This window comes from Homo sapiens, chromosome 8 (assembly GCF_000001405.40).
Source record: "Homo sapiens chromosome 8, GRCh38.p14 Primary Assembly".
Classification (NCBI taxonomy): Eukaryota; Metazoa; Chordata; class Mammalia; order Primates; family Hominidae; genus Homo; species Homo sapiens.
In genome coordinates this window covers 55,801,895-55,828,173 of record NC_000008.11, presented here as the reverse complement: position 1 = coordinate 55,828,173, position 26,279 = coordinate 55,801,895, and the positions used below count along the sequence as shown (strand labels likewise).

Genomic DNA, 26,279 nt, shown 5'->3' with positions numbered 1-26,279 from the left:
ACCTCTCACTGCAAAATAAAAAGGAACAAGTGCTGTTATTACAATATTCCTGGCAATCCTAACCAATGCAACAGGAAAAGGATAAAAATTAAGAGGCTTACATTTTAGCAAAGAGAAAAACTCATGTGTAGATGTCATGACTGCTTATTTAGAAAATCAAAGTGTGTTATCAATTAAAAACTATGGGAGTGGCCGGGCGCGATGGCCCACACCTGTAATCCCAGCACTTTGGGAGGCCGAGGCGGGCGGATCACGAGGTCAGGAGATCGAGACCAGCCCGGCTAACACAGTGAAACCCCGTCTCTACCAAAAATACAAAAAAATTAGCTGGGTGTGGTGGCGGGCTCCTGTAGTCCCAGCTACTCGGGAGGCTGAGGCAGGAGAATGGCGTGAACCCGGGAGGCGGAGCTTGCAGTGAGCCGAGATGGCACTACTGCACTCTAGCCTGGGCAACAGAGCTAGACTCCGTCTCAAAAAAAAAAAAACAACAAAAAACTATGGGGCGGGGGGTGGGGGGCCGGGTGCTGTGGCTCACACCTGTAATCCCAGCACTTTTGGAGGCCGAGGCGGGCGGATCACGAGGTCGGGAGATCGAGACCACGGTGAAACCCTGTCTCTACTAAAAATACAAAACATTAGCCAGGCGCAGTGGCGGGCGCCTGTAGTCCCAGCTACTCGGGAGGCTGAGGCAGGAGAATGGCGTTGTAGTCCCAGCTACTCGGGAGGCTGAGGCAGGAGAATGGCGTGAACCTGGGAGGTGGAGCTTGCAGTGAGCCGAGATCGCGCCACTGCACTCCAGCCTGGGCGATAGAGTGAGGCTCAGTCTCAAAAACAAACAAACTAAACTATGGGGTGGAGGGAGGGGGTAACAAAAATTACTAGAATTATTAAACGAGGTCAGTAAGATGACTGAAAGACACAAAAATCAAAAGCATTTTTATTTGGGACAGAATCTTGCTCTGTCACCCAGGCTGGAGTGCCGTGGCGCAGTCTTGGCTCACTGCAACCTCCGCCTCCCGGGTTCAAGAATTTCTCCTGCCTCAGCCTCCTGAGTAGCTGGGATTACAGGCTTGCGCCACCACTGTAATTTTTGTATTTTTAGTAGAGACGGGGTTTCACTGGTCAGGCTGGTCTTGAACTCCTGACCTCAGTTGATCTGCCCACCTCGGGCTCCCAAAGTGTTGGGATTACAGGCGTGAGCCCCCATCTCCAAATACATACATATCAATCTGTACTATCATTTTTAATAGACATGGTACAAATATATGAGAATTGCTGTAAACATTAACCAATTATGGTTATGTACTTATTTTTTGAGATAGGGGTCTCACAGGGGAATGAAAATGTGGGAGTACTTTAACAATTTTATTTTTTTTGAGACAGTCTCACTCTGTTGTCCAGGCAGGAGTGCAGTGGCACAATCTCGGCTCCCCTGCAACCTCTGCCTCCTGGGTTCAAGCGATTCTCCTGCCTCAGCCTCCTGAGTAGCTGGGATTACATGTATGTGCCACCATGCCTGGCTAATTTTTGTATTTTTAGTAGAGGCGGGGTTTCACTATGCTGGCCAGGCTGGTCTGGAACTACTGACCTCAGGTGATCCGCCCACCTGGGTTTCTCAAAGTGCTGGGATTACAGGCGTGAGCCACGGCGCCCAGCCTTTTTATCCATTTTATGTATTTAAGATTTTTTGGAACCTGATTCACACAATAGACTAGAACACTTCTTAAATCCTATTGAGTACTGACAATCTTAACAGTCTATTAGTTTTATCCCTGTGTGATTAGTGGGCAGCAATATCTTAGTTTTAGCTAACCAAGCCTAAGCTTCCTGCTCTTCTCATGTAAAATCATGTATATTCAGGAAGATGAGTTAGCTTTATTAATATACAAGTAAGAAAATGAGCTGTGGAAAGAAGTATATGCAAGAAAGGTTAAGTGACAAAAAACTAAAAAAAATTAGTGATTTTGGAAATCTGCCTTTACTTCACCTGCCATCTCCCTAGTGACTTTAAGAATGCTACATAAAGCCAGGCGCGGTGGCTCACGCCTGTAATCCCAGAACTACGGGAGGCTGAGGTGGTTGGATCACAAGGTCAGGAGATCGAGACCATCCTGGCTAACACGGTGAAACCCCATAGCTACTAAAAATATAAAAAATTAGCTGGATGTGGTGGCAGGTGCCTGTAGTCCCAGCTACTCGGGAGGCTGAGGTAGGAGGTGGAGGTTGCAGTAAGCTGAGATCACGCCATTGCACTCCAGCCTGGGCGACAGAGCAAGACTCTGTCTAAAAAAAAAAAAAAGAATGCTACATAAAGTTTAAAAACCAAGAACATTTGGACAGATTTTGAAATTGCGAATTAATGAAAAAGTAATTTCACCTTTATTGATCAGCTCAGTTGCTACTGTACTGCAGAGCAATCAGATAAATTGTAAACTTTCAAGACACTAAAATTAGCATATTCCAACAAAGTTATTTATATAACAGCTATTTTTCTAGTCTAATTTTCTAGTATTTATTGGAAATTCCCCAAATTTGTTTCAATTCTCTAATCTTATCCCAGCCAGTATCATGTTCTGTTTAATGTTTAACACGCTCATATTATTAAAATATAGAAGTCCCAGGTCTAACCTTCAATGGACAAGTGTTGTATGTCACTATTTTTTTGCCTACTTGTAAAAATGACTGAACAAACTTTTTAGATGAATAATTAAGCAACACATATCCCTCTTGCTTTCATTGCCATTTTAATAAAAAAATAGAAACTCCTATATTACAAAATATATTGCGTATTGATGTCACAATGGAAATTTTACAAACACAAACTTTATAAAAGGGTGTTAAGCCAATTCCAGATGAAGCAAAGACATGAAAACAGGAAAGTTCTAGAAAAAGTCTAAATAAATGTATTCATATTCTATGAGTGAAAAAGATAATTCAAAAGGATGTCCGTAAGGCTGGGCACAGTAGCTCACGCCTGTAATTCCAGCACTTGGGGAGGGTGAGATGGGGGGACTGACTGAGCCCAGGAGTTTGACACCAGCCTGGGCAACATGGTGGGACCTCGTCTCTACAAAAAATACAAAAATTAGTACGGTGTGGCAGTGCCCACCTAAAGCCCCAGCTACTGAGGAGACTGAGACAGAAGGATTGCTTGAACTCAGAAGGCTGAACCTGCAGTGAGCTGTGATCATGGCACTGCACTCCAGCCTGGGCGGTAAAAGTGAGATCCTGTCTCAAAAAAAAATAAATTACAAAGGACTCATATATATTAATTTTGTATAATTCCTCTAAAGGAATTATTCAAAGATCTCAAAATATTTCACTGATATTTAAGTCCTGTAAGTTTCCATTTCATACGGTGATATAAGACCATGGGTAGAAAATATCAGTGAATAAAGGAAGACATGCCAAATGTCTCATCTGAATATTTTGACCACTCCATGATCTTTTGTCCTCGCACTGCTGCATAGTTAGGTTTCAGAGGCTGGTCTTCGAATTAGGTCACCAAAATATGCAGTGATTGTCTTCAATTTGTTGTTAAGGAAGTTCTGTTCTATTTCCACTTGCCCTCCAGGCCCAGCTAAGGATGCCACCTAAAAAGATGAACAGAAGAAAGTCACACACACACCTAAGCATAATTTCAAAAGTCTTTCACTTGTACTGCTTTATCAAATAATAGGAAGACTCTGGCTTTTAAGTCCTTTGAATAATGAGGCATCTCAAATGTTCACTGCTACTTCCCAGGCATCGATGCAATATTTGGAGGTGGGAATACTTGTTGTTTCAGATCCTTTTGATATTATGGGAAAGTTCATGGTGCTATGCTGTTGTATAGGACTTGAACTCTCCAATGCCATAGCTAAAGAACTCAAAGGAAGAAAAAAATGAACAAATCCTTCCCAAACATCCGGTTTATTAAAAATTTTTATTTTTATTTTTAAACATTAGAGGCAGGGTCTCACTGTGTTGCCCAAGCTTGTCTTGAATTCCTGGTCTTAAGCATTCCTCTCACCTCTGCCTCCCAAAGTCATGTTATTTATTTATTTATTTTGTTTTTTGAGATAGAGTCCTACTCTGTCGCCCAGGCTGCAGTTCAGTGGCACGATCTCGGCTCACTGCAACCTCCGCCTCCCGGGTTCAAGCAATTCTCCTGCCTCAGCCTCCTGAGCATCTGGAATTACAGGCACATGCCACCATGCCCAGCTAATTTTTGTATTTTTTTTAGTAGAAATGGTGTTTCACCAAGTTGGCCAGGCTGGTCTCGAACTCCTGACCTGGTGATCCGCTCGGCCCGGCCTCCCAAAGTGCTGGGATTACAAGCCACCGTGCCCGGCCTAGGTTTATTTTTAAAATATTATTACTATTTTTCTCACCTTCCTTCCTCCTCCTCCCCAGGTTTATTTCTTAACAAAAATATTTAAAGATTATTTCCCTTTCCTGAAAGCCTTTGTCCTGTTCATCTTACCATCTGCATCTCACCCTCTCTCTCATTCATTCAACAGTATTTACTGAGTTCCTGCTACATAATCCTAGCTCTGATCCAGGCCAGGATCCCTACTCTCATGAGGAGTCTAGCCTCTAGTGACTTTTCCTTCTCTCACTGGTCTCCTTTCTTTTCTCCCACCTTGGATCACTTCTTCTACCTGTTGCCCTTTTGTGTATTTTAAATGCTTTCTACAACAATTGTGGTAAAAATATATTGCTCTTTATGAGGTCTACTAGAATATAGTGACTAACTCCTTTATTAGGAAGCTGAAAGCATTGCTCCCTCCCCACTTCCACAGTTAGCATCAAAAGGATGCTAGCCAAATGACCAGCATTTGACAGGGGGATGGGGCAGTTAGCTGCTAAAGATTCTTTTGTTCCAAGACAGTAATGCTTGCACTCACCTTGGTACATTGTAAACTAGAAATGTTTTACCCTAAGTTCTTATACAGATAAGGTTTTGTTTTGGTTCAGTACTTTCTTCACCCAACCTCTCAGAAATCTTTTAAATAGCAAATACGTTACTTTCTAACTCATGATTACTTCACCAGAGATCAGTTTTTCAGGGCAGTAAGAGGAAAGATCAAGAGAAGAGAGAATGCAGTGGAGAGTCCTGGCAATCAGAGAATAGAAGACACAGCAATAGAAAAAAGGACACCCAAAGTATTAGGGACAGGCATAAACAACGAGAAACAAGCATTTTCTGTAACTGTAATCAGCAAAATTATAGTTGTGTATTTTGTAAAGAGAGGCAGTCAGTCTGGTTTGGTTTTAAGGGTTGAGAGAATGTAATCTCAGTGGTATTATGCATACCACCCCAGCTTCTGGTAGAAGGGAAGATTTATTGTGCATTTCCAGTGAGTATGTAAAAAGTCAGACACAGAAATAGGGAAGAAGCAACCAGTCATTCTATGGTACCTTATTATGTGAAAATAAGTCAAATACAGTATTCCTTATAATGATTAAAAGCACCCCCCCCACTATTTTTTTTTGTAAGGAATACTTAAAGTAAAACTAGAAATTTAAAAATAGCAAAGTAGTCTCAGAGTAGCAATTATTAGGAATAAATGTTTTAAATTCTATTTTGGTATCTTTATGCCAGTCTGGTTTTTTTACAAGAAAGGGGGAAAAAAAAAAAAGGTATTTTGTCTTTAGCCAATAAAAGGCATTTTGAACAGTTTATCATTTTTTCACAATAATTTTTCTTTGAGTTGAGATATAACTCAAATGTAGCATTTCTGCTGTGCCCTTTAACAAATAACTTAAAAATCCCCAGTTCTACCAATAATTTGCTGCATTAATTTAAAAAGCCATTTTTAGGCCGGGCGCTGTGGCTCATGCCTGTAATCCCAGCACTTTGGGAGGTCGAGGAGGGTGGATCACGAGGTCAGGAGATCGAGACCATCCTGGCAAACAAGGTAAAACCCCGTCTCTACTAAAAATACAAAAAAATTTGCTGGGGGTGGTGGCGGGCGCCTGTAGTCCCAGCTATTCGGGAGGCTGAGGCAGGAGAATGGCGTGAATTCAGGAGGCGGAGCTTGCAGTGAGCTGAGATCGCACCACTGCACTCCAGCCTGGGCGACAGAGTGAGACTCTGCCTCAAAAAAAAAAAGAAAGAAAGAAAAAAAAGCCAATATTGTTGTTGTTAAGAAAGCCATTAAAATAGGCTTTTTTTGGCTTTCTAAATCCGAAAATATGAATACTGTCTATCTCCCTAAAAGAGCATTTTAAAGAAAAGAAAAACCATTTCTGAAGTTTACTTGAAAAAAAAAATAAAGGTACTATAAATATAGTTATTATTATTATTATTTTTTGAGATGGAGTCTCGCTCTGCTGCCTAGGCTGGAGTGCAGTGGCGTGATCTCGGCTAGTACTGCAAGCTCTGCCTCCTGGGTTCATGCCATTCTCCTGCCTCAGCCTCCCGAGTAGCTGGGACTACAGGCGCCCGCCACCACACCCGGCTAATTTTTTGTATTTTTAGTAGAGACAGGGTTTCACCGTGTTAGCCAGGGTGGTCTCGATCTCCTGACCTCGTGATCCACCCACCTCGGCCTCCCAAAGTGCTGGGATTACAGGCGTGAACCACCGTGCCTGGCCGATGGTTATTATTTCTTATATAAGCCATAAATAGAATTCCATAAAAACCAATTTCTGAGAAGGTAGGGTAGTTTTGTTTTTCTTAATACCTTTCAGAGGGTTGTCTAGATGTGGGTGCTTGGGATTAAAATAAAAAACGGAGGTAAGATGGGGGTTTTCTCAGAAATCATGAGTTCTGAAGTCTGTGCAAAACAGTTCATAAATTACTTTACTCAATAACTATTATTGAGAGCTTATAGGTATCTGTTCTAGGCAGTGCAGTATAGCAAAAAACAAACAAGAAATCCCCACCTCCATGAATTTTACATTCTGGCTGGGAGAGTCAGATGACGGACAAATAAAACAAATATTGTTCCTGATAATGGAGAAGGTGGTGTATCTATGTGACAAAATATAGTGAGAAAACTCTTATGTACTTAGTGTTTAGAAACAATTTTTTTTTAAAAACTTAACATGTTACTTTCAAGTGTTCTGATTACGAATAATTTCTAACTTTAGCCTTTTTGTACGTTTTCACATTTTCACAACTACATATATGTTAAAAGTTAGAATTTTGGAGTTGGAAAGACTTATAAATTTAGTAGTTCAAGCAAATAACTTTGCTTCAGGCAAATTTAATGAATGCCATTAATTTCTAGCTGTCCTTATTTTTCACTAGAAGGTTTAGCTGACAAAATATTATTTGGTTCCCTCCGCTTTCTTAGAATTTAGTAAATTGTGAGAGGAAGAGAGGGTAGGAAGGACAGAGAGAGGGAGAACGGCAGGTACAAACAGATAAAGATTAGCAGCTCTGGATTACTTTCCACATTTTTGGCATATTACCTAAATATATTAATTTTACCAAAATAAATCCCAATTAATTTGGACCAGAACTAGAATTAAGGACTGAACTCTTGACTAGATTTGACATCAGGCAGTAAAGCTGTTCTTTGGGGACTGGCAAAGGAGAAACAGAAAAGATCACAATGAAGGTGTTAAAGCACAGAAGATTTAAGCATCAAATAAAAAGGTAAACATTCAAAACTGCACTTTTTTTTTGTTTTGTTTTGTTTTTTGAGACGAGTCTGGCTCTACCGCCCAGGCTGGAGTGCAGTGGCATGATCTCGGCTCACTGCAACCTCTGCCTCCTGGGTTCAAGCGATTCTCCTGCCTCAGCCTGCCGAGTAGCTGGGATTACTGGCGCACCTGGCTAATTTCTGTATTTTTAGTAGAGACAGGGTTTCACGATGTTGGCCAGGCTGGTCTCAAAACTCCTGACCTCAGGTGATCCGCCCGCCTCGGCCTCTCAAAGTGTTGGGATTACAGGCTTAAGCCACTGCGCCTGGAGCAAAACTGCATTTTTTCAAGAGAAACTGGATTTAAAGTAAAAGTGCACGATAACCGAATGAGAGAAAATAACCTCCCAACTGCATCCTACTGGAAGAATAGATAATAATTACTAATGACAGATACACTTTATTACAAGAAAGACACAGAAACATCAGAGCGCTGAAAAATGCCCTATTACTACATGGAAGAGATTATATCTATGATACGCAGAAATGTGGTTAGAAGATAATTGTACCAGGTAAAAATAAAGAGCATTTTATGTGGCCTTCAGATCTGTGTCAAATACAATGCTAGCAGCAGCAAGCATCTGAAATACTGGCTGTGACTACAAACCTAATGTCACACAGGCCAAGAAAGTGCTTTGCCACTAGTTATTTTTGTCCCTCTTTTCTTTTGCTAGATCCAACTAATAACCACATGAAAATAAAACAAAGTTGGCAAAACATTTCTGGTAATTAAAAGTTCTCTGGGAGGTGAAAGAAGAAAATATTTTTTAGTCAGCAGAAAATCAGGCATCATTCAAACTTAAAAATATTCATTAAATTAGTTCCATTTCTCTGCACATGGTAAACAGAAATGAGATTTCTATGCTTCCGTAAATAAATCTTAAAGCCACCATCATCAACAGGAGCACCTGGTGGCAGGTCAAAAAAATTCTCCCAGGCAGCCAGGCACAGTGGCTCACACCTGTAATCCCAGAACTTTGGGAGGCTGAGGCAGGCAGATCACCTGAGGTCGGGAGTTCGAGACCAGCCTGACCAACATGGAGAAACCCCGTCTCTACTAAAAAAAAAAAAAATTAGCCGGGCATAGTGGCATATGCCTGTAATCCCAGCTACTTGGGAGGCTGAGGTAGGAGAATTGCTTGAACCCGGGAAGTGGAGGTTGTGGTGAGCTGAGATCAGGCCATTGCACTCCAGCCTGGGCAACAAGAGCAAAACTCCATCTCAAAAAAAAAAAAAAAAAAAAAAAAATCTCCCAGGCATCACAAGCTAACCTACACTGGTGTCCTAAGAGGAGGCTACCAGGCCGGGCACGGTGGCTCATGCCCGTAATCCCAGAACTTTGGGAGGCTGAAGTAGAAAGATTGCTTTAGCCTAGAAGTCCAACCTGGGCAACATGGTGAAACCCTGTCTCTACAAAAAATAAAAAAATTAGCCAGGCATGGTGGCCCATGCATATGGTTCCAGCTACTCTGAAGGCTGAGGTAGGATTGTTTTAGCTTGGGAGGTTGAGGCTGCAGTGAGCTGTGATCATGTCACTGTACTGCAGCCTTGTGGACAGAGCGAGGCTCTGTCTCCAAAGAAGAAAAAAACCCCACCAAAACCCAAAAACAACCAGTTCACTAAGCTCTGTCCTTCACTCATTCTCAGAACCAGATACTGGAAACATGAAGACTGTTCAATTCAACAAATTACAGAAAGCACAGGCTATCAGCACAGGACTGGCAGGTAGCACTATGTGTGGCCCAGAAGAGCTGGATATCCCTCTAATTTCTATCTCCATCATTTACGGAGAAAAGTTACCCACAGTAGTGAAGGAGATACAAGCTATATTTAGAAGCATTTCAGCAAAGCTGCATTTGTGTCTTCCCAAGTCAACTATGAGGCCAATCAGTTCCACAACCCCTCTAGAGCATGACAATATATATGGTTTAAGAACAAACGATTCTGCTCTAATTGTGCAGCAGCAAACTTCCCAAGGGAAAAGCTGGCTAGTAAATATTAGGAACTGATCATATATTTATCCTGAATTGCAGTGTATGATTAAGCACTGATTTCACCAAGAACAGAGTTGGTCTAGAAAACTGGGAATCAGGCTGGGCGTGGTGGCTGACACCTGTAATCCCAGCACTTTGGGATGCTGAGGTGAAGAATAGCTGGCCAACATGGTGAAACCCCATCTCTACAAAAAAATATAAATATTAGCTGGGTGTGGTGGTGCACACCTGTAGTCCCAGGTACTCGGGAGACCGAGGTGGGAGAATTGTTTCAGTCTGGGAGGCTGCAGAGAGCAGTGATCACACCACTGCCCTCCAGCCTGGCCCTGTCTCAAAAAAAAAATTGGTAACCAGTTACTGAAAGAGTCAAATTCTACTTATTGCTCCAATCTCATGGTGAGCTAATATTGTGATAACAGATAAATCTGTTTCTTCTTGGTAATGAACATTGTGTCAGTGGGAGACAGCAAGGTGTAATAAGACTGTCGCTGTGTGGCAGAATGACCAGGCAAATCACCATACCTCCATAGCCTTCAATGAAATCAGGTGCTCCAGAGACACACTGCTCCAGAATGTCATGATGAGTCAATGAAATGGCTAAGAGGACACTGTACACCCTAAGTGTGTGTGCCAGCTCCTATGCTGTAGATGTATAGTGTATGAATGCAGGGTATTGTTAGTGTAGTAGGATGAATGCACTTGTGAGTGCTCTGAGTTGTAAAGGCTATTTTCAAGTAACTAGTTTGGAGTCTACTATTCCAACATGTACCAGAAGCCCAATCCAGTTCTTAGCCTTCTTTTTATTCTCTCATGCTTCTGGTTCCTAAACCTGGACTAATGTTCTCTACCTCTACGAGAGAGCTACCATTAGATTAGATTTCCACTATATTAACTTAATTCAGAAAAATTTGACACAAATTAAAAAAATCTAGTATTTAGAAACCAGTTAGGACCCAATCTTCTATTTATTAAATACACAGATACTATAACTACTTAGAATATTTGCAAAGAAATCTGTGATAAATTTTTATTGTATTTAGCCAAAACCACTACAAATGCTAATAAACTGAATTTAGTTATATTTAAAACATTTTCCACATAACAATATTACCTAATAGTTTTTCATATTTATTCAAATTCAAATACATTATTCAAATACTTACAACTCTATTCTTATATATGGTAAGTTTTAGAAATATTACCTATAAATAAGTACCTCATTCCTATCGACCTATCTATCTATCTACTTACCTACCTACCAAAATAAAGTATTAGAAGTGACTGTTACAATGAGGAACATTTCCCTTCCTAGACATCAGAGAACAAAATATAAAAAGACAATTGGAGCCTCAAGTACTCTGCCAACTAAGGAGAGATGAGGGCCAGGCGTGGTGGCTCATGCCTGTAATCCCAGCACTTTGGGAGGCCAAGGCGGGCAGATCACGAGGTCAAGAGATCGAGACCATCCTGGCCAACGTGGTGAAACCCTGTCTCTACTAAAAATACAAAAATTAGCTGGGCGTGGTGGTGTGCGCCTGCAGTCCCAACTACTTGGGAGGCTGAGGCAGGAGAATCGCTTGAACCCGGGAGGCAGGCAGAGGTTGCAGTAAGCCGAGATCGCACCACTGCACTCTGGCCTGGGCAACAGAGCAAGACTCTGTCTCAAAAAAAAAAAAAATAAATAAAATAGAGATGAATTCCATTATTAAATCTAACATCAATTTTATACTTAGCATTTATTTAAGTATTAGTTAATTTGTAAACTTCTCCGCTTTATGAGGAAACAAAAAAGGTAGGATTTGCCTTGCCCAAATGTTACATGACATGTGCCTGGGGAAGCCATGGAAGGGTGGAGTATGTCTGCCAGACAAAGGCCAGGAATTAACATGATACAGTTCATTTTTTAAACATAATTCTTAGGGATGTTGCTTAATGTTGCCCTGCTCTCTGTATTGGTAAGATACATACCATGACAAAGATAAGTAACTTAACTTATCTTACCTGAAAAGTACAAACGCTATTGCTTTTCTGAGACTAGATGTTTTATGTCTAATTATAAAATTAAACAAGGATGAGAAGCTGCCATATCAAACAGACCAGCAGACTTCCTCTCTTCATTCCTGCCTTGGGCTAAGAGACAAGACTCCTTATGTCAGAGATTCCACCCACAAGGATTTCACACAAAGGTGGTGTTTGATAATTGCTGCCTGCATCTTCCTTTGGGAAGGACTAAGTCCTTGTCTGTTCAGAGATTTCCATCTATTAATATGTTCAATAGGTTTACCACTTAAGAGAGAAACCTTTCATGTTTGTGAAGCATGGTAGATCCAAAGCTAGAATTAGCTGGAATTCTCTGGCTGTCCAAGGAAAGAAAGAAAGGAAAGCATGGCAAGATACAGGCATCAAGCAGATAAAATATGCTTACTCTGGGCTTTTTGAATTGGATTTGAGATCCCAGCACTTTAGAAGGCTGAGGCAGGAGGATCACTTGAGCCCAGGAATTTGAGGTTGCAGTGAGCTATGATCATGCTACTGCTACTGCACTCCAGTCTGCGTGACAGAGAGAAACCCTATCTCCATAAATAAATAAATAAAATAAATAAATAAATAAATAAATAAATAAAAATTAGTCCTTGGGTTTCAACAGCAATTTCAAGAGTAAGGTATATACCTTACCTCCAAAGAGCCTCTCACAAAAAGATATTTTTCTAAATTACTCAGTTCTTAGCAAGAAATGCATGTCTTGGAATCATCTCCAAATAGAAAAAAGGAATAGAAGATTGAGGTAATAAGGGACCTAGGAAAACATTTCACTAGATACAGGAAACAATTAGCATCACCTCTTACATGGAAATATTTGAGATAAGTTGTATTTGTATTGAATCCATGCTGTTTAGGATGATATAAATATTATCTAAGAGTACAATCTCCCTGGATGGGAAATTAACTGTCCTTCATATGAGAAAAATGCAGCCTGAGTTTCAAACAGCAGACAGTGACACACTTGGGATCCCAAACCATTTGCAAATTCAGGTTGTTGTAACATTCTAAAAGTTCCTTAACAAAAAAAAGTTAATTTTCTTTGCAACTGTGATTTCTCTCAATTTTTAGTACTGTCTCCTCTCATTAAAAAGGTCCTACATACGGATACATTTTCTTCATTAAAAAAAAGTTGATTTCCCACTGTAATCTGATCAAAATTTGATAGCAAAAAAAATTAATACACTTGAAATCTCATCAGTCTTTCTTGGTTTCATTATTCCCTAGTGTCATTACTCCCTCTAGAGGCAAAAAAACATGAATCACCAACTCCAATTCTGGAAAGTTTTTGAAATAAACCAAAAACACAAATTAAAAAGTTAACTTTCTCTTTGTGAAAGTGTTAATGTAACTAGAAAAAGTTAATCAGCATAAATTGCATGATAAACAGTGAATTTCCTCTCGTTATTCAAGTACTCAAATGAGGCTGTCTACATTTAATATAAGGATCACATCGTCTCTGATGAGACGATGTAGAGCATAATATTCATATATGAGAAAAACAGAAATTATGGAATTGTTAGGCTCAACCTTATCTGGCAGTCTAGAAAGCAGCTCTGAATCATATGAGAAGTAGATATAAAATACCTGGTGTTTAATATGAACTTTAATTCAGAAAACTCATGAAGCAAAGAGATGGTTCGTTTTTCTTTCTTTCTTTTTTTTTTTAGACAGTCTCACTCTGTCACCCAGGCTGGAGTGCAGTGGCGCAATCTCGGCTCACTGCAACCTCTGCCTCCCGAGTAGCTGGGATTACAGGCACGCCGCCACCATGCCCGGCTAATTTGTGTGTATGTGTGTGTACATATATATATATATATATATATATTTTTTTTTTTTTTTTAAGTAGAGACGGGGTTTTGCCATGTTGGCCAGGCTGGTCAACTCCTGGCCTCAAGCGATCTGCCTGCCTTGGCCTCCCAAAGTGCTGGGATTACAGGTCTGAGCCATCACACCCAGCCCCTTTTTCTTATAACTGGTATAACACATACTATTAATATTTTGGGAGGCCTAATGTTTAGACACAATGGATCATAAACGGATGAAAGGCAGCAAGATCTAATTTCATTGCTTAACAATAAGAGCTCAGGCTTGTTAATTTCATTTACTCTTCTTTTAACCCAGAGAATCTCAACTCTGGAGAACATTACAACCACTTTGGGCAGTTTAAAAATTAACTTTCGGGCCTCATCCTAGAAAACAGAGAATCTTTCCCAGTGGATTACAGTATCAGTAGTTTTTTTAAAAAGCTACTCAGCTGCGCGTGGTGGCTCACACCTATAATCCCAGCACTTAGGGAGGCTGAGGCAGGAGGATTGCTTGAGCCTTTAATTTTGAGACCAGTGTGGGCAACATGGTGAGACCTCATCTCTATAAAAAATAAAAAAACTAGCTGGGCATGGTGCTGTGTACCTGTGGTCCCAGCTACTCAGCAGGCTGAGGTGGGAGGACTGCTTGAGCCCAGTTAGTTGAGGCTGCAGTGAGCCGTGTTTGGGCCATTGCACTCCAGCCTGGGTGATAGAGCGATATGGTCTCAAAAGAAAAACAAAAACAAAAACAACAACAAAAAAAGCGCTACTCAGCAAAAACTATAAAACTCTAAAGCACAGGCAACACAATGAAGAAAGATAAATTGGACTTCATAATAGAATAGAAATGCCTGAGTTGGAAAACCTGATAGAGGTAATGTAGAAGGAAAAAGGAAGCGACAAACACTAGAAAATATAGATAGGAAAGACTAACATTCTCTTATAATAGATGTCCCAGAGAAAGGAAAAAAGACAATGAGAACATAGTTGAAGAAATAATGGAGATAGCATCTCCTGAATAAAAAACACAAAAAACATCAGAATACTAGGGCTAGTTCTGATAGTATCAAATAAGAGAGAAAGGAAAAACCCAGTTAGCAACATTACAGTGAAATTCAGAATATGAAAGATAAAAGATTTTCAAGAGTATCTGGCACAAAGCAGATATGTAGTAAGTGTTTGTAGAAAAATCAACAAAAACATGAAATGAAGATATCATCAAATCTCTCTATTTTTTTTGAGACAGTCTCACTTTGTTGCCCAGGCTGAAACAAATAAAAAAAGGCTAGTTTAACTATGCAGCATTTGAAGCACAACACATTCAATCATCCTTTCAATATGTCTAGTCAAAGCCTAGAGTGCTCTATTTGTGTCTATGTATGCCAGGAGCTATGGAAATGAAGACGATGTAATAGACATGGATCTAACTTCCAGATACTTCCAGCTTTCTAAGAATAGTCAGTGAGTCAGGGACTTCTCATAAACACATTCTCTGGTAAGGATATGTCCTGTATCTTTTACCGTACTTGTAACAGTTAAGACAGACACTCATGGAAGTTTTTCAGTAATGGCTTACCTGGTCAATATCAGCATTTCTTGGAAGAAAATAAACAATATTATTAGTGATCTTCTTAGAAAGTCTGAAAATTTCAAAGGTGGACAGCAGTTAAGGAAAAATAATGAAAACAGCAGCTAATTTCTAATCAGAAAGAGATGTGTTTTACTTATCATAACTCAAATGTATTTCAAAATGTAACTAAAAGGCAAAAACTTAAACCCTCTAATGGAACCTAAAAGAGAATTACATACAAAATTTTGTAATTCAGCAAAATATTGTCTCCATAATTCAAAGACTGACAGTTGAATCGATTTCAATTATCCTAGTGGTAGGTACTAGGCAAGAGTCAGAATAAAGTAACCATGGCCATTGCAGTCTACACTCTAAATTTTATTTTTTAATTTTTAATTTTATTATTTTTGAGACAGAGTCTGGCTCTGCTTATTTATTTTTGAGACAGGGTCTGGCTCTGCTGCCCAGGCTGGAGTGCAGTAGCGTAATCTCAATTCACTGCAACCTCCTCCTGGGTTCAAGAGATCCTCATGCCTCAGCCTCCCGAGTACCTGGGACTACAGGATTACAGGCATGTACCACCACATGCCCAGCTAATTTACACTGTAATTTTTTTTTTTTTTTTTTTTGAGACAGAGTCTTGCTCTGTCACCCAGGCTGGAGTGCAGTGGCAGGTTCAAGCTATTCTCCTGCCTCAGCCTCCTGAGTAGCTGAGATTACAGGTGCCCACCACCATGCCCAGCTAATTTTTGTATTTTTAGTAGAGATGGGGTTCAGCCATGTTGGCCAGGCTGGTCTTGAACTCCTGACCTCAAATGATTTGCCCGCCTTGGCCTCCCAAAGTGCCAGGAGTACAGGCGTGACCCAGCATATCCCGGAGTACACTCTAAATTTTAATAGCAATTTAGAAATATCTTTCCTGTTAAGAGTCAAACAGATGATTACGGTGGAGAGGCAGGTGGCGAAAGTGACAAATAACAAACGTTACTCTATGAAATAAGGGTTTGCTTCGACGTCTTGGAAGAGTAACAGGAAAAATGTGAAGATACACAGCAAATTAGCCAGCATCAGTGTGAATTGAAGAGTTACAGAATGGTTACCGACAAACTCCAGGGATACTTTTTCAGGAAATTCCCAATTCACAAGACAATAAGTCCAATGTATGTGTTCTAGTCCTTGTTTTATAATGGTAAAATTGAATAGCAAGCAACGGAAATATGACCTCATATTTGTCATTACTTTTGGAGATCGATCCCCACATAATTTTTACATACCTGCTTTTTATGTAAAATAAACTAGAATTTATCAAATGCTGTTAGGTAATACTCCCTCTCTTCACTAATTTCTCTCTCTCCCTATTTTTTGAAATGGAGTCTCGCTCCGTTGCCCAGGCTGGAGTGCAGTGGCGCAATCTCAGCTCACTGCAACCTCGGCCTCCCTGGTCCAAGCGATTCTCCTGCCTCAGCCTCCTGAGTTGCTGGGAGTACAGGCGCGTGCCACCATGCCCGGCTAATTTTTTGTATTTTTAGTAGAGATGAGGTTTCACCGTGTTAGCCAGGATGGTCTCGATCTCCTGACCTCGTGATCCACCTGCCTCGGCCTCCCAAAGTGCTGGGATTACAGGTGTGAGCCACCGTGCCTGGCCAATCTCTCTCTCTCTTTTGAGACAGAGTCCCGCTCTGTCACCCAGGGTGGAGTGCAGTGGCGCGATCTCAGATCACTGCAACCTCTGCCTCCTGGGTTCAAGTGATTCTCGTGCTTCGGCCTCCCGAGTAGCTGGATTACAGGCATGTGCCACCATGCCCAGCTAATTTTTGTACTTTTAGTAGAGACGGGGTTTCACCATGTTGGCCAGGCTGGTCTCGAACTCCTGACCTCAGGTGATCCACCTGCCTCAGCCTCCCAATGTGCTAGGATTACAAATGTGAGCCACCCTGCCCACCCACCCACACTCCCTCTCTCACTCTCATGCTCCTTTCTCTCCACAATCATTGTTTCAGTAAACTCTTAAGACTTCCAAAGGATATCCATCAGGAGACATCATTGTTCTAATGTCAAAGGTCTCTGCAGTGGCATAGTCTGGCCCTCCCCAAGGTGGGCTGAGGAACACAACATCAGCCTTTAAAAAAGAAGCCAGCAGCAAGAAATCTCCACAGATGAACTCTATCTTATCTGCTATCCCATAAACTTCTGCATTATTGCGAGCAAGGGCAATCTTAACAGGATCGATATCAATGGCAATCACTAAAAGTGGGAAAAGAAAAAAATGAGTTAATTGACACTGATTATTACTTATATAGGATAGTTTGTCTTTCGAATAGTCTGTCATCTTCTGTATAAGAACTCTTTATAAAGAGGAGGAGACATTTGGCCACATATACCCGAGATACAGACTTCAGTTTAAATTTTTTATTTAAATTAGAAAGATTCACTGTGTTGTACCAAGAAAATGTGACTGAAGGACTTGGCTTTCTTGTCTCATTCTACAGCTTTTCCTAACCAAGTGGCAATACTTGCCACAAAATATCTACTGAGTGCCAAATATGTGGCCACCATTGTGCTGTGCTACAGCCTGAGTAGGAAAAGGTCACTGACTGTATGGACAGCCTGTAATGCTAGGTTTTGGAAAAGACAAACTTCTTCAAAATGTAGCAATGCCCAAAATGAACAGAAATTCGACAACTTCTAAGGAAAACCAAAATAAAACACATTTTTACAAACTTATGTAGCCAAGTGATGAAGAAGAAATGTAAAAACACCTGCCGATAATGTTTAATGAGACATTTTAGGTAGAGGAAACAGATATTATGTTTTCACCAAATGGACTTTCATTTACTTTATTCCAATTTTATAATTAGCAACATAGACATAATTTAATTTTAGCCTATCCATGTTTTGCAGTAAACTACTCAGTATACTTGCATGTGCACTACTGTGTTAATGGCAGTATTCTTCATTTGAAAGGGCTAAGTGTAACCGTTACGCTTACGGCGTGGTTGTCATGGAAATTGTTTTCCAGAAAATGCTAGTTTCCAAATTTGTTAACATTTTTGAGAAATAATGTGCTAAATCACTTGAACAATAAATATAAGCACCAATTATAACATATTGCAAAATCATACATTTATAATGGTGTTTTTCCTGTTCTAAATAAACATTCACATTTGTAAGAGAAAAAATTCTTTTCAGTTGCTCAGTCTGTTACATTTATAGTTCAGAGACAGATGGAAAGATATGCTGATGATACTAAAAATTCAAAAGAAAAAGTGACTTTCAACATCAAATCGATTCAGTTAATCCTATTTTCATCTGTATTTCTTTTGGAGGCAGACTTTGTTTTTAGGCCTAATAAGAATGGAAGCATTCAATCTATCACATAAAAGAAATGCTGGCTGGGCACGGTGGCTCATGCCTGTAATCCCAGCACTTTGGGAGGCTGAGGCGGGTGGACCCCTTGAGCTCAGGAGTTCGAAACCCCATCTCTATCAAAAACACAAAAAATTAGCCAGGTGGGGTGGCATGTGCCAGCAGTCCCAGCTACTCAGGAGGTTTAAGTGAATCACTTGGGCCTGGGAGGAGGAGATTGCAGTGAGCTGAGACTGTGCCACTGCACTCCAGCTTGGGTGACAGAGCGAAACACCTGCACCCCACAACTGCAAAAAAAAAAAAAATGCTGACAAATGTTAATCCTCAGCCACACTAGCACACCTCGACAGCTTAATAGCCACATGTGGCTACTAGCTGGCTATCATATTGGACAGCACAGATATAGAACATATAAGTCATCACAAAGAGTTCTACCACGCAGTACTGTTGCTAAACTACTGGAACACATACAAAAGGGAAAGATATCTTTAACAACAGCAATATGCAAAACTTTACAGATTCCCTAACCCTTTAGTTATGCACAGACAGCAAATATCTGAGTGGAAATAAATCTGGCACAAAGGAATAACCTCAACTATATGCAATGCCATCTTTTTGTATGTATGTTGCGTATATATGTAAATGTATAAATACACATACAGTTCAAGCATAATTGATTATATGAATGTGTATATAAGCACACATGAACATACATTATGATAGGGAACTCAAAACAGTTAAGTGTAATTGATTATATGTGTATACTTACATATGTATACACAAACACACTAAGTCAATTATACTTTAACTGTTTTGAATTCCTTGCCATAATGTCATTAGCTCAACTATCCTACGGGGATACTAGGAGGAGTATTGATAACTGCCATTCATGGAACACCTGTGAATTACCACTTCTGGTTTGGGGGGCAAATTATGGGACCCCACTACAGGCTAGGGGTGGTGGCTCATGCCTGTAATCCCAGCACTTTGGGAGGCCGAGGTTGGGTGGATCACCTGAGGTCAGGAGTTCGAGACCACCCTGGCCAACATGGTGAAACCCCATCTCTACTAAAAATAAAAAAATTAGCTGGGCGTGGTGGCAGGCCCCTGCAGTCCCAGCTATATGGGAGGCTGAGGCAGAAGAATCACTTGAACCCAGGAGGTGAAGGTTGTAGTGAGCTGAGAATGTGCCACTGCACTCCAACCTGGGCGACAGAGTGAGACTCCATCTCAAAAAAAAAAAAAAAGAAAAAAAGAAAAAGAAAGAACTATATATCTACATATAGACGGTTTGAGTAATCTGAGAAAATTTTCAGATTTCTTTGCTACTTTATCAGGGAGCAGGTGTTTTAATCATCGTGTTACGATGTAAGGCCAAAATGAAGATACATTTTACAACTTTTAAGGAAAAATCATTTTTTAGGCAATAAATATTGATTTTAGCCCATAGGAATGGCTTATCTGGCAAAGTCTGAGAAGAACTTTGATAGTAAATAGTGAATTCAAGGAAAAAGGAAAATAACCACTACTCTCGTAAATATGAAAGTAGCTTGTCTCTAGGCTATCAGGAGACCATGTAAAGTTAGCAAATATCATGCCTTGGAGCATAGGAGTATTAAAACGGGCCACATTTCATCAGCACTGACCTTAAAAATCTATGTAATGGTAAGGCGATAAGATCATTTTCAGTGCAATTTGATTAAAGTCAGTTTCTCTGACTAGACCGAGCAAGGACTGAGTCTGTTTTTTCTACAGCTACTACGTGCTTTCCAAAATCATATTACGCTTTCCTACTTAACATTAACTTCATATAAATTAGTAAGATTCAGTAGAAATCTGTTGAAATGAAACTATCATTGATAGGTATAATATGAAGATATTTAAAAATATGCATCTTCAGAATGAAAACTAAATGAAAACTCTGCTTCTTGTCTCAGTGTGGTGGCTCATGCCTGTAATTCCAGCACTTTTAGAGGCCAAGGGGAGGATTGCTTAAAGCCAGGGGTTTAAGACCAGCCTGGGGAATATAGCAAGATCCTGTCTATACAAAAATTAAAAAAAAAATTAGCAGGGCATACTGGCACGTGCCTGTAGTCTCAGCTACTTGGGAGGCTGAGATGGGAGGATCACTTGAGCCCGGGAAGTCAAGGCTGCAGTTAGTCCTGATCATGCCACTACACTTTAGCCTGGGTGATATAGTGAGACCCTGTCTCAAAAACAAAACAAACAAGAAAAAAGCAAAAAAAAAAAAACCCCTGCTTTATGACCCAGCTATATCAGTTTGGGCAGAATGTTCAACTTCTTCAACCCATTTCTTTCCCTGGGGAAAAGCAGATTACCTACTTGACACAGTTACTGGCAGTTACACAGTGGGAGGGGTTTTCTTTCTTGTGATCCCAAAGTCAAGCAACAAATATTATATGACGATGAGGTAATATTTAAATAATATTTAGTCTCTGAAATTTAAAGCTTTTTGAAAGGTGTCACAGAGGTCATCTAAATTCAAGGTCTCCTTTAAATTAAGGTTAAATGGCCGGGCGTGGTGGCTCACGCCTGTAATCCCAGCACTTTGCGAGGCTGAGGCGGGAGGATCATGAGGTCAGGAGATCAAGACCATCCTGGCTAACATGGTGAAACCCTGTTTCTACTAAAAATACAAAAAATTAGCTGGGTGTGGTGGTGGGCGCCTGTAGTCCCAGCTACGTGGGAGGCTGAGGCAGGAGAATGGCATGCACTCGGGAGGCGGAGTTTGCAGTGAGCCGAGATCCGCGCCACTGCACTCCAGCCTGGGCGACAGAGTGAGACCCCGTCTCAAAAAAAAAGAAAAAAAAAAATTAAATAAATAAATAAATAAAGGTTAAATGATGTCCAAAGTCATAAAGATAGTGAGTGCCAAAGTCCCTGTCCACTGTTCAATACTCTCCTGTTTTGGTATTTTTGGTTTTATAAAATACTATGACCTTGGCTTCAAGTTATTAGGTGTGCCAGTATAATCTTGGGCAAGTTATTTCATCTCTTTATGTCTCAGTTTATCTGTGAAACACAGACAGTAAGACATAATTCACAAGATTGTTGATTACATAAATTAATACATATAGTTGGCCCTTAAGACAGACATTAGGAGCCCTGATCTCTTGTGAAGTCAAAAATCTGTATAATTTTGGACTCCCCAAACTTAACTTTTAATAGCCTACTGTTGACCTGAAGCCTCACCTATAATGTAAACAGTTAATTAACACATATTTTGTACATTGTATGTATTATATGTAGTATTACTAAAATAAAGAAACAGAGAAAAAATTGTTACTAAGTAAATCATAAGGAAACTACATTTACAGTACTATATTTATTGATAAGGTAGGTTTTTTTTTTTCTTTTGTCTTTTTTTTTTTTTTTTTTTTTGAGGTGGAGTCTCGCTCTGTTGCCCAGGCTGGAATGCAGCTGGCATGATCTCGGCTCACTGCAACCTCCACCTCCCGGGTTCATGCGATTCTCTTGTCTCAGCCTCCTGAGTAGCTGGGACTACAGGCACACGCTACCATGCCCGGCTAATTTTTGTATTTTTAGGAGAGACGGGGTCTCTCCATGTTGGTCAGGCTGGTCTTGAACTCCCCACCTCAGGTGATCAGCCTGCCTCGGCCTCCTAAAGTGCTGGGATTACAGGCATGAGCCACCGTGCCCGGCCTACAAATTTTTTTAAGAGCCTAGGTCTCACTCTGTTGCCCGAGCTAGAGCACAGTGGTGCAATCACAGCTCACTGCAGCCTGCAATTTCTGGGCTCAGGTCATCCTCTCATCTCAGCCTGAGTAGCTGGGACTATAGGCACACACCACCACGCCTGGCTAATTTTTAAATTTTTTTTTTTTTTTTTTTTTTTAAGATGGAGTCTCACTCTGTTGCCCAGGCTGGAGTGCAGTGGCATGATCTCGGCTCACTGCAACCTCTGCCTCCTAGGTTCAAGCGAGTCTCCTGCCTCAGCCTCCTGTAGCTGGGATTACAGATGCATGCCACCATGCCCAGCTAATTTTTGTAATTTTAGTAGACGGGGTTTCACCATGTTGGCCAGGCTGGTGTCGAACTCCTGACCTCAGGTGATCCGCCTACCTTGGCCTACCAAAGTGCCGGGATTACAGGGGTAAGCCACTACGCCTGGCCAATTTTTAAAATTTTTTCTAGAGACCAGGTTGGTCTCAAACTCCTGGCCTCAAGTGATCCTCCTGCCTCTAACTCCCAAATTGCTAGAATTATGGGCATGAATCACCACGCCCACTCAAATTTTAACTTTTTATAACAGATTTGTGCATATTTTATGGTAGTAAATGATAAAACAAACTAGTATCTACCTATGTTTCATGCATTCATGACATTCCTACCTTTTAAATTATTTCGATGTATCTAGGTTACAAGGGATTCATCTGCGAGTTTCTTTTTTTTGTCACAAATCTCCAGAACATTTTCCAATATATTTACTGAAAAAAATCTGGGTGTAAGTGGACTCATACAGTTCAAACCTGTATTGTCCAAGGGTCAACTGTAGGAAGCATTTACACCAGTATGCAATACAAAGTATATGCTTAATATATGCTAGCTATTATTTTATATCATTTCATATTAAATTATTAATTATATATTAAATCTCAGTAAGATAGGCTGTAGCAAAATGGAAACATTTACTGAATTAACTGGACATAAAATAGTTCACTTCCATTGATGGCTAATTACCTCTCATTCCTGTTAAGGCAAACTGAATGGTATTTCCTCCAACTCCACAGAATGCGTCTACTACAACGTCACACTTGAAGGACTGACTAACACGGCCAGCAATGTGTTCAGCAATCTTCTCGGGTGTAACTGAAAACCAGCCCTCTGCAAAGGAAGAGTATTTGTGTTAGCATGTTCAATTTCAAGAAGCCAAGGCAAGCATAAACATAGCAAACATTACTATATCTTACATACTTTTAAAAAGCTTAGTTTCCCTTTTTAAAAAATTATAAATCACCCAGTTTTAAAGAAAAAAATTCAAAGCTTGTTATAAAAAGCAGTACCATTCCCAATTTCCACAGAAATGATGACCTCAATTCTTAACCTAATTCTTTTGTAATACTGTATACCTCCATCTTTCCAATAACTGAATTTACAATTTTGATGTTTCTCTTTGAGGCTTTAACTACTGACTCCTGTGGAAAATAGAGAACTAGCTGCTCTAATTGGCTAGCTCCCCCACACTCCGCTGAGTTTCCCAATTATTTCACTCCTAAGGTTGAAGCAATAGCCTGGATTTGTATTGGACACTCCAGAAAAAACTCCATTTTTTTTTGGAGACAGTGTCTTGCTCTGTTGCCCAGGCTGGAGTGCAACGGCATGATCTTGGCTCATTGCAACTTCCGCCTCCTGGGTTCAAGCAATTCTCATGCTTCAGCCTCCTGAGTAGTTGGGACTACAGGCACACGCTACCATGCCCAGCCAATTTTTGTATTTTTAGGAGAGACAGAGTTTTGCCATGTTAGCCAGGCTGGTCTTGAACTCCTGGCCTCAAGTGATTTGCCTGCCTCAGCCTCCCAAAGTGCTGGGATTACAGGCATGAGCCACCATGCCTGGCCAAAACTGCATGCTTTTAAAGGGTCGGAAAAAGCAAGGAACTGGATGGCAAAAGGCCATAGGGTTGCAGAAGTACAGGAGGAATAGCAGAGCCCTCATCATTGTCAGAAATGAGGTCCTGTGTCCACTCTAGAGTAAAGAGAATACTGACCTCCTTCTTTCCTAGTAGAAAAAATTTACATTTTTCAGAAAGACAATTATCTGAACAAAATGATGTGCTGGGCTGGGCGTGGTGGATCACTTGAGCACAGGAGTTTGAGAGCAGCCTGGGCAACATGGCAAAACCCTGTCTCTACAAAACATTAGCCAAGCATGGTAGTGCTTGCTTGTAATCCCAGCTACTTAGGAGGCGGAGGCATAAGGATTGCTTTAGCCTGGGAGGTGGAGGTTGCTGAGCCAAGATTGTGCCACTGTACTCCAGCGTGGGTGACAGAGTGAGACCCTGTCTAAAAAAAATAAAAAAAAAAAGAAAAGAAAAAATAAAAAGAAAAGAAAAGAAAAATAAATAAATAAAAATAATGTGCGTTAATTTTCCTGTTGTCTCCCCTTACCAAAACTTTAAATGGCTCTTCAATACTGGAAAAATAAGAATATACACTTTTATAGAATTGCAAGTGTTTTCCAGCCTTATTTCTCCTTACAAATTCCTACGTACTTTTTCCAATACACAGCATTTTGCAAATTGTTTTAAAAGGGTCAGAGAACCCCTGAAATTCCATCATAGATCAAGAACTTCTGATTTTGATAGTTAATAAAAACCAATATTTAGGTAACCCCAATATGAAAACGAGCATCAGTCTGCAAGACTGAGTTAAGTAAGCTGTTGCAGATCACAGCAGGAAAGCTGGAGAAAGAATTCAAAATTTGCGAAGTTAATTCATTAAATTGTATCCTTCTGCACTAGATATTTCTTCATCAGGTTTTCTGTTTAATAATTTATCAATTGCTTTTGCTATCTATCCTAACGTGCTACAAATACAGATTAAACCCAAGTCTGAAATTTTAAAAATACACACACACACACACACACCCCCCCAAATTGAAGGGCATCCTATAAAATAAATGGCCATTGATCCTTTGAAAAATGTCAGTCATGAAAGACAAAAAAGGCTAAGGAAACATTCCACATTAAAGGCAACTAAAGAACTTGAAAAATAAACGCAATGATACATGATCCTATACTGGAAGGAAAAAAAAAACGTGATAAAGGACAAGATTAGGACAATTAATGAAATTAGAGTATAAACTGTAGATTAAAATATTGGAACAATGTTAAGTTGATAATTCACTATTTTAAACAAAAATATACTTGTCCTTAGCAAATATACACTAAAGTATTAAGAAGTATGAGCATGATGTGTGTTAAGTACTGATCAGAAAAAGATACACACACATACATATGGAGAGAGAATGAGAACGTAAACGGGGCAAAATGTTGAAAATAGCTGAATCTGGGTAAAGGGGATATGAACATTCCCTGTATTATTCTTATAACTTTCTTTTTAAGTTTGAAGTGGTTTCAAAATAAAGCTAAAAAATACATATATACTTTACCTCTGTCCAACTTAATCCCATCATCAAAACGGGAGAAGAGCCTGTACCTCTGGGCCCAGTATTTTGCCAGCTCAGGAACAGCAGCTATTTCAGGAGGCAGACCATTCACCTTTTTGTTCTTCTTCTTGTTCTTCTTCTTTTTCACTTCAGCTAAAATAAAATACAAAGAATATAGATGCTCACTAAGAAAAAAATTAGTATCACAGGTGAGTTTATCTAAAAATGAAGCCACATCAAATAATTACAAGCAGAACATGTATATAATGACACGCCCAGAGAAACAGGAGAGCCTGATGGAAACGCCACTGGCTTCAATCACCACCAGCATTTTGCTACTTATTGGCTTTGTAAGCTTGGGAAAGTAACCGAGGGTCTTTAAGCTCCATTCATTCATTCATTTATTTATTTATTTAGAGACGAAGTCTGGCTCTGTCACCCATGCTGGAGTGCAGTGGCACGATCTTGGCTCACTGCAAGCTCCGCCTCCCGGGTTCACACCATTCTCCTGCCTCAGCCTCCCGAGTAGCTGGGACTACAGGCGCCCGTCACCACGCCCGGCTAATTTTTTTGTATTTTAGTAGAGACGGGGTTTCACCGTGTTAGTCAGGATGGTCTTGATCTCCCGAGCTTGTGATCCACCCGCCTTGGCCTCCCAAAGTGCTGGGATTACAGGCATGAGCCACTGTGCCTGGCCTAAACTCCAATTATTAAT

At 40.3% G+C, this 26,279-nt stretch overlaps 1 protein-coding gene across 5 annotated transcripts in view, besides 2 other annotated features; it reads right to left on the bottom strand.

Annotated features, from left to right (window-relative positions):
• Positions 1-1,728: 1,728 nt before the first annotated feature.
• TGS1 (trimethylguanosine synthase 1) overlaps positions 1,729-26,279 on the bottom strand; it is a 53,000-nt gene continuing 28,449 nt past the window's right edge. For 2 of the 5 annotated variants that reach the window (NM_024831.8, NM_001363184.2), the window contains 5 exons: positions 25,568-25,717; positions 23,138-23,281; positions 17,077-17,293; positions 15,056-15,134; positions 1,729-3,593 (listed from right to left, as the gene is read on the bottom strand). In NM_024831.8, coding sequence (NP_079107.6) covers positions 3,471-3,593; positions 15,056-15,134; positions 17,077-17,293; positions 23,138-23,281; positions 25,568-25,717 — 713 coding nt within the window. In that variant the 3' untranslated portion in view covers positions 1,729-3,470. The remainder of the gene's footprint in view (positions 3,594-15,055; positions 15,135-17,076; positions 17,294-23,137; positions 23,282-25,567; positions 25,718-26,279) is intronic. The other 3 variants (XM_006716485.3, NM_001317902.2, XM_017014004.2) reach the window with 2 other exon arrangements.
• Positions 9,270-9,319: an enhancer, noted in NCBI's record as "active region_27377". NCBI's record gives its function as "activates an Ori minimal core promoter by ATAC-STARR-seq in GM12878 lymphoblastoid cells {active_cell/tissue: GM12878}" and the evidence as "EXISTENCE:reporter gene assay evidence [ECO:0000049][PMID:35858748]".
• Positions 10,177-10,377: a silencer, noted in NCBI's record as "peak7024 fragment used in MPRA reporter construct". NCBI's record gives its function as "represses an SCP1 promoter by STARR-seq MPRAs in K562 erythroleukemia cells {active_cell/tissue: K562}" and the evidence as "EXISTENCE:reporter gene assay evidence [ECO:0000049][PMID:32103011]".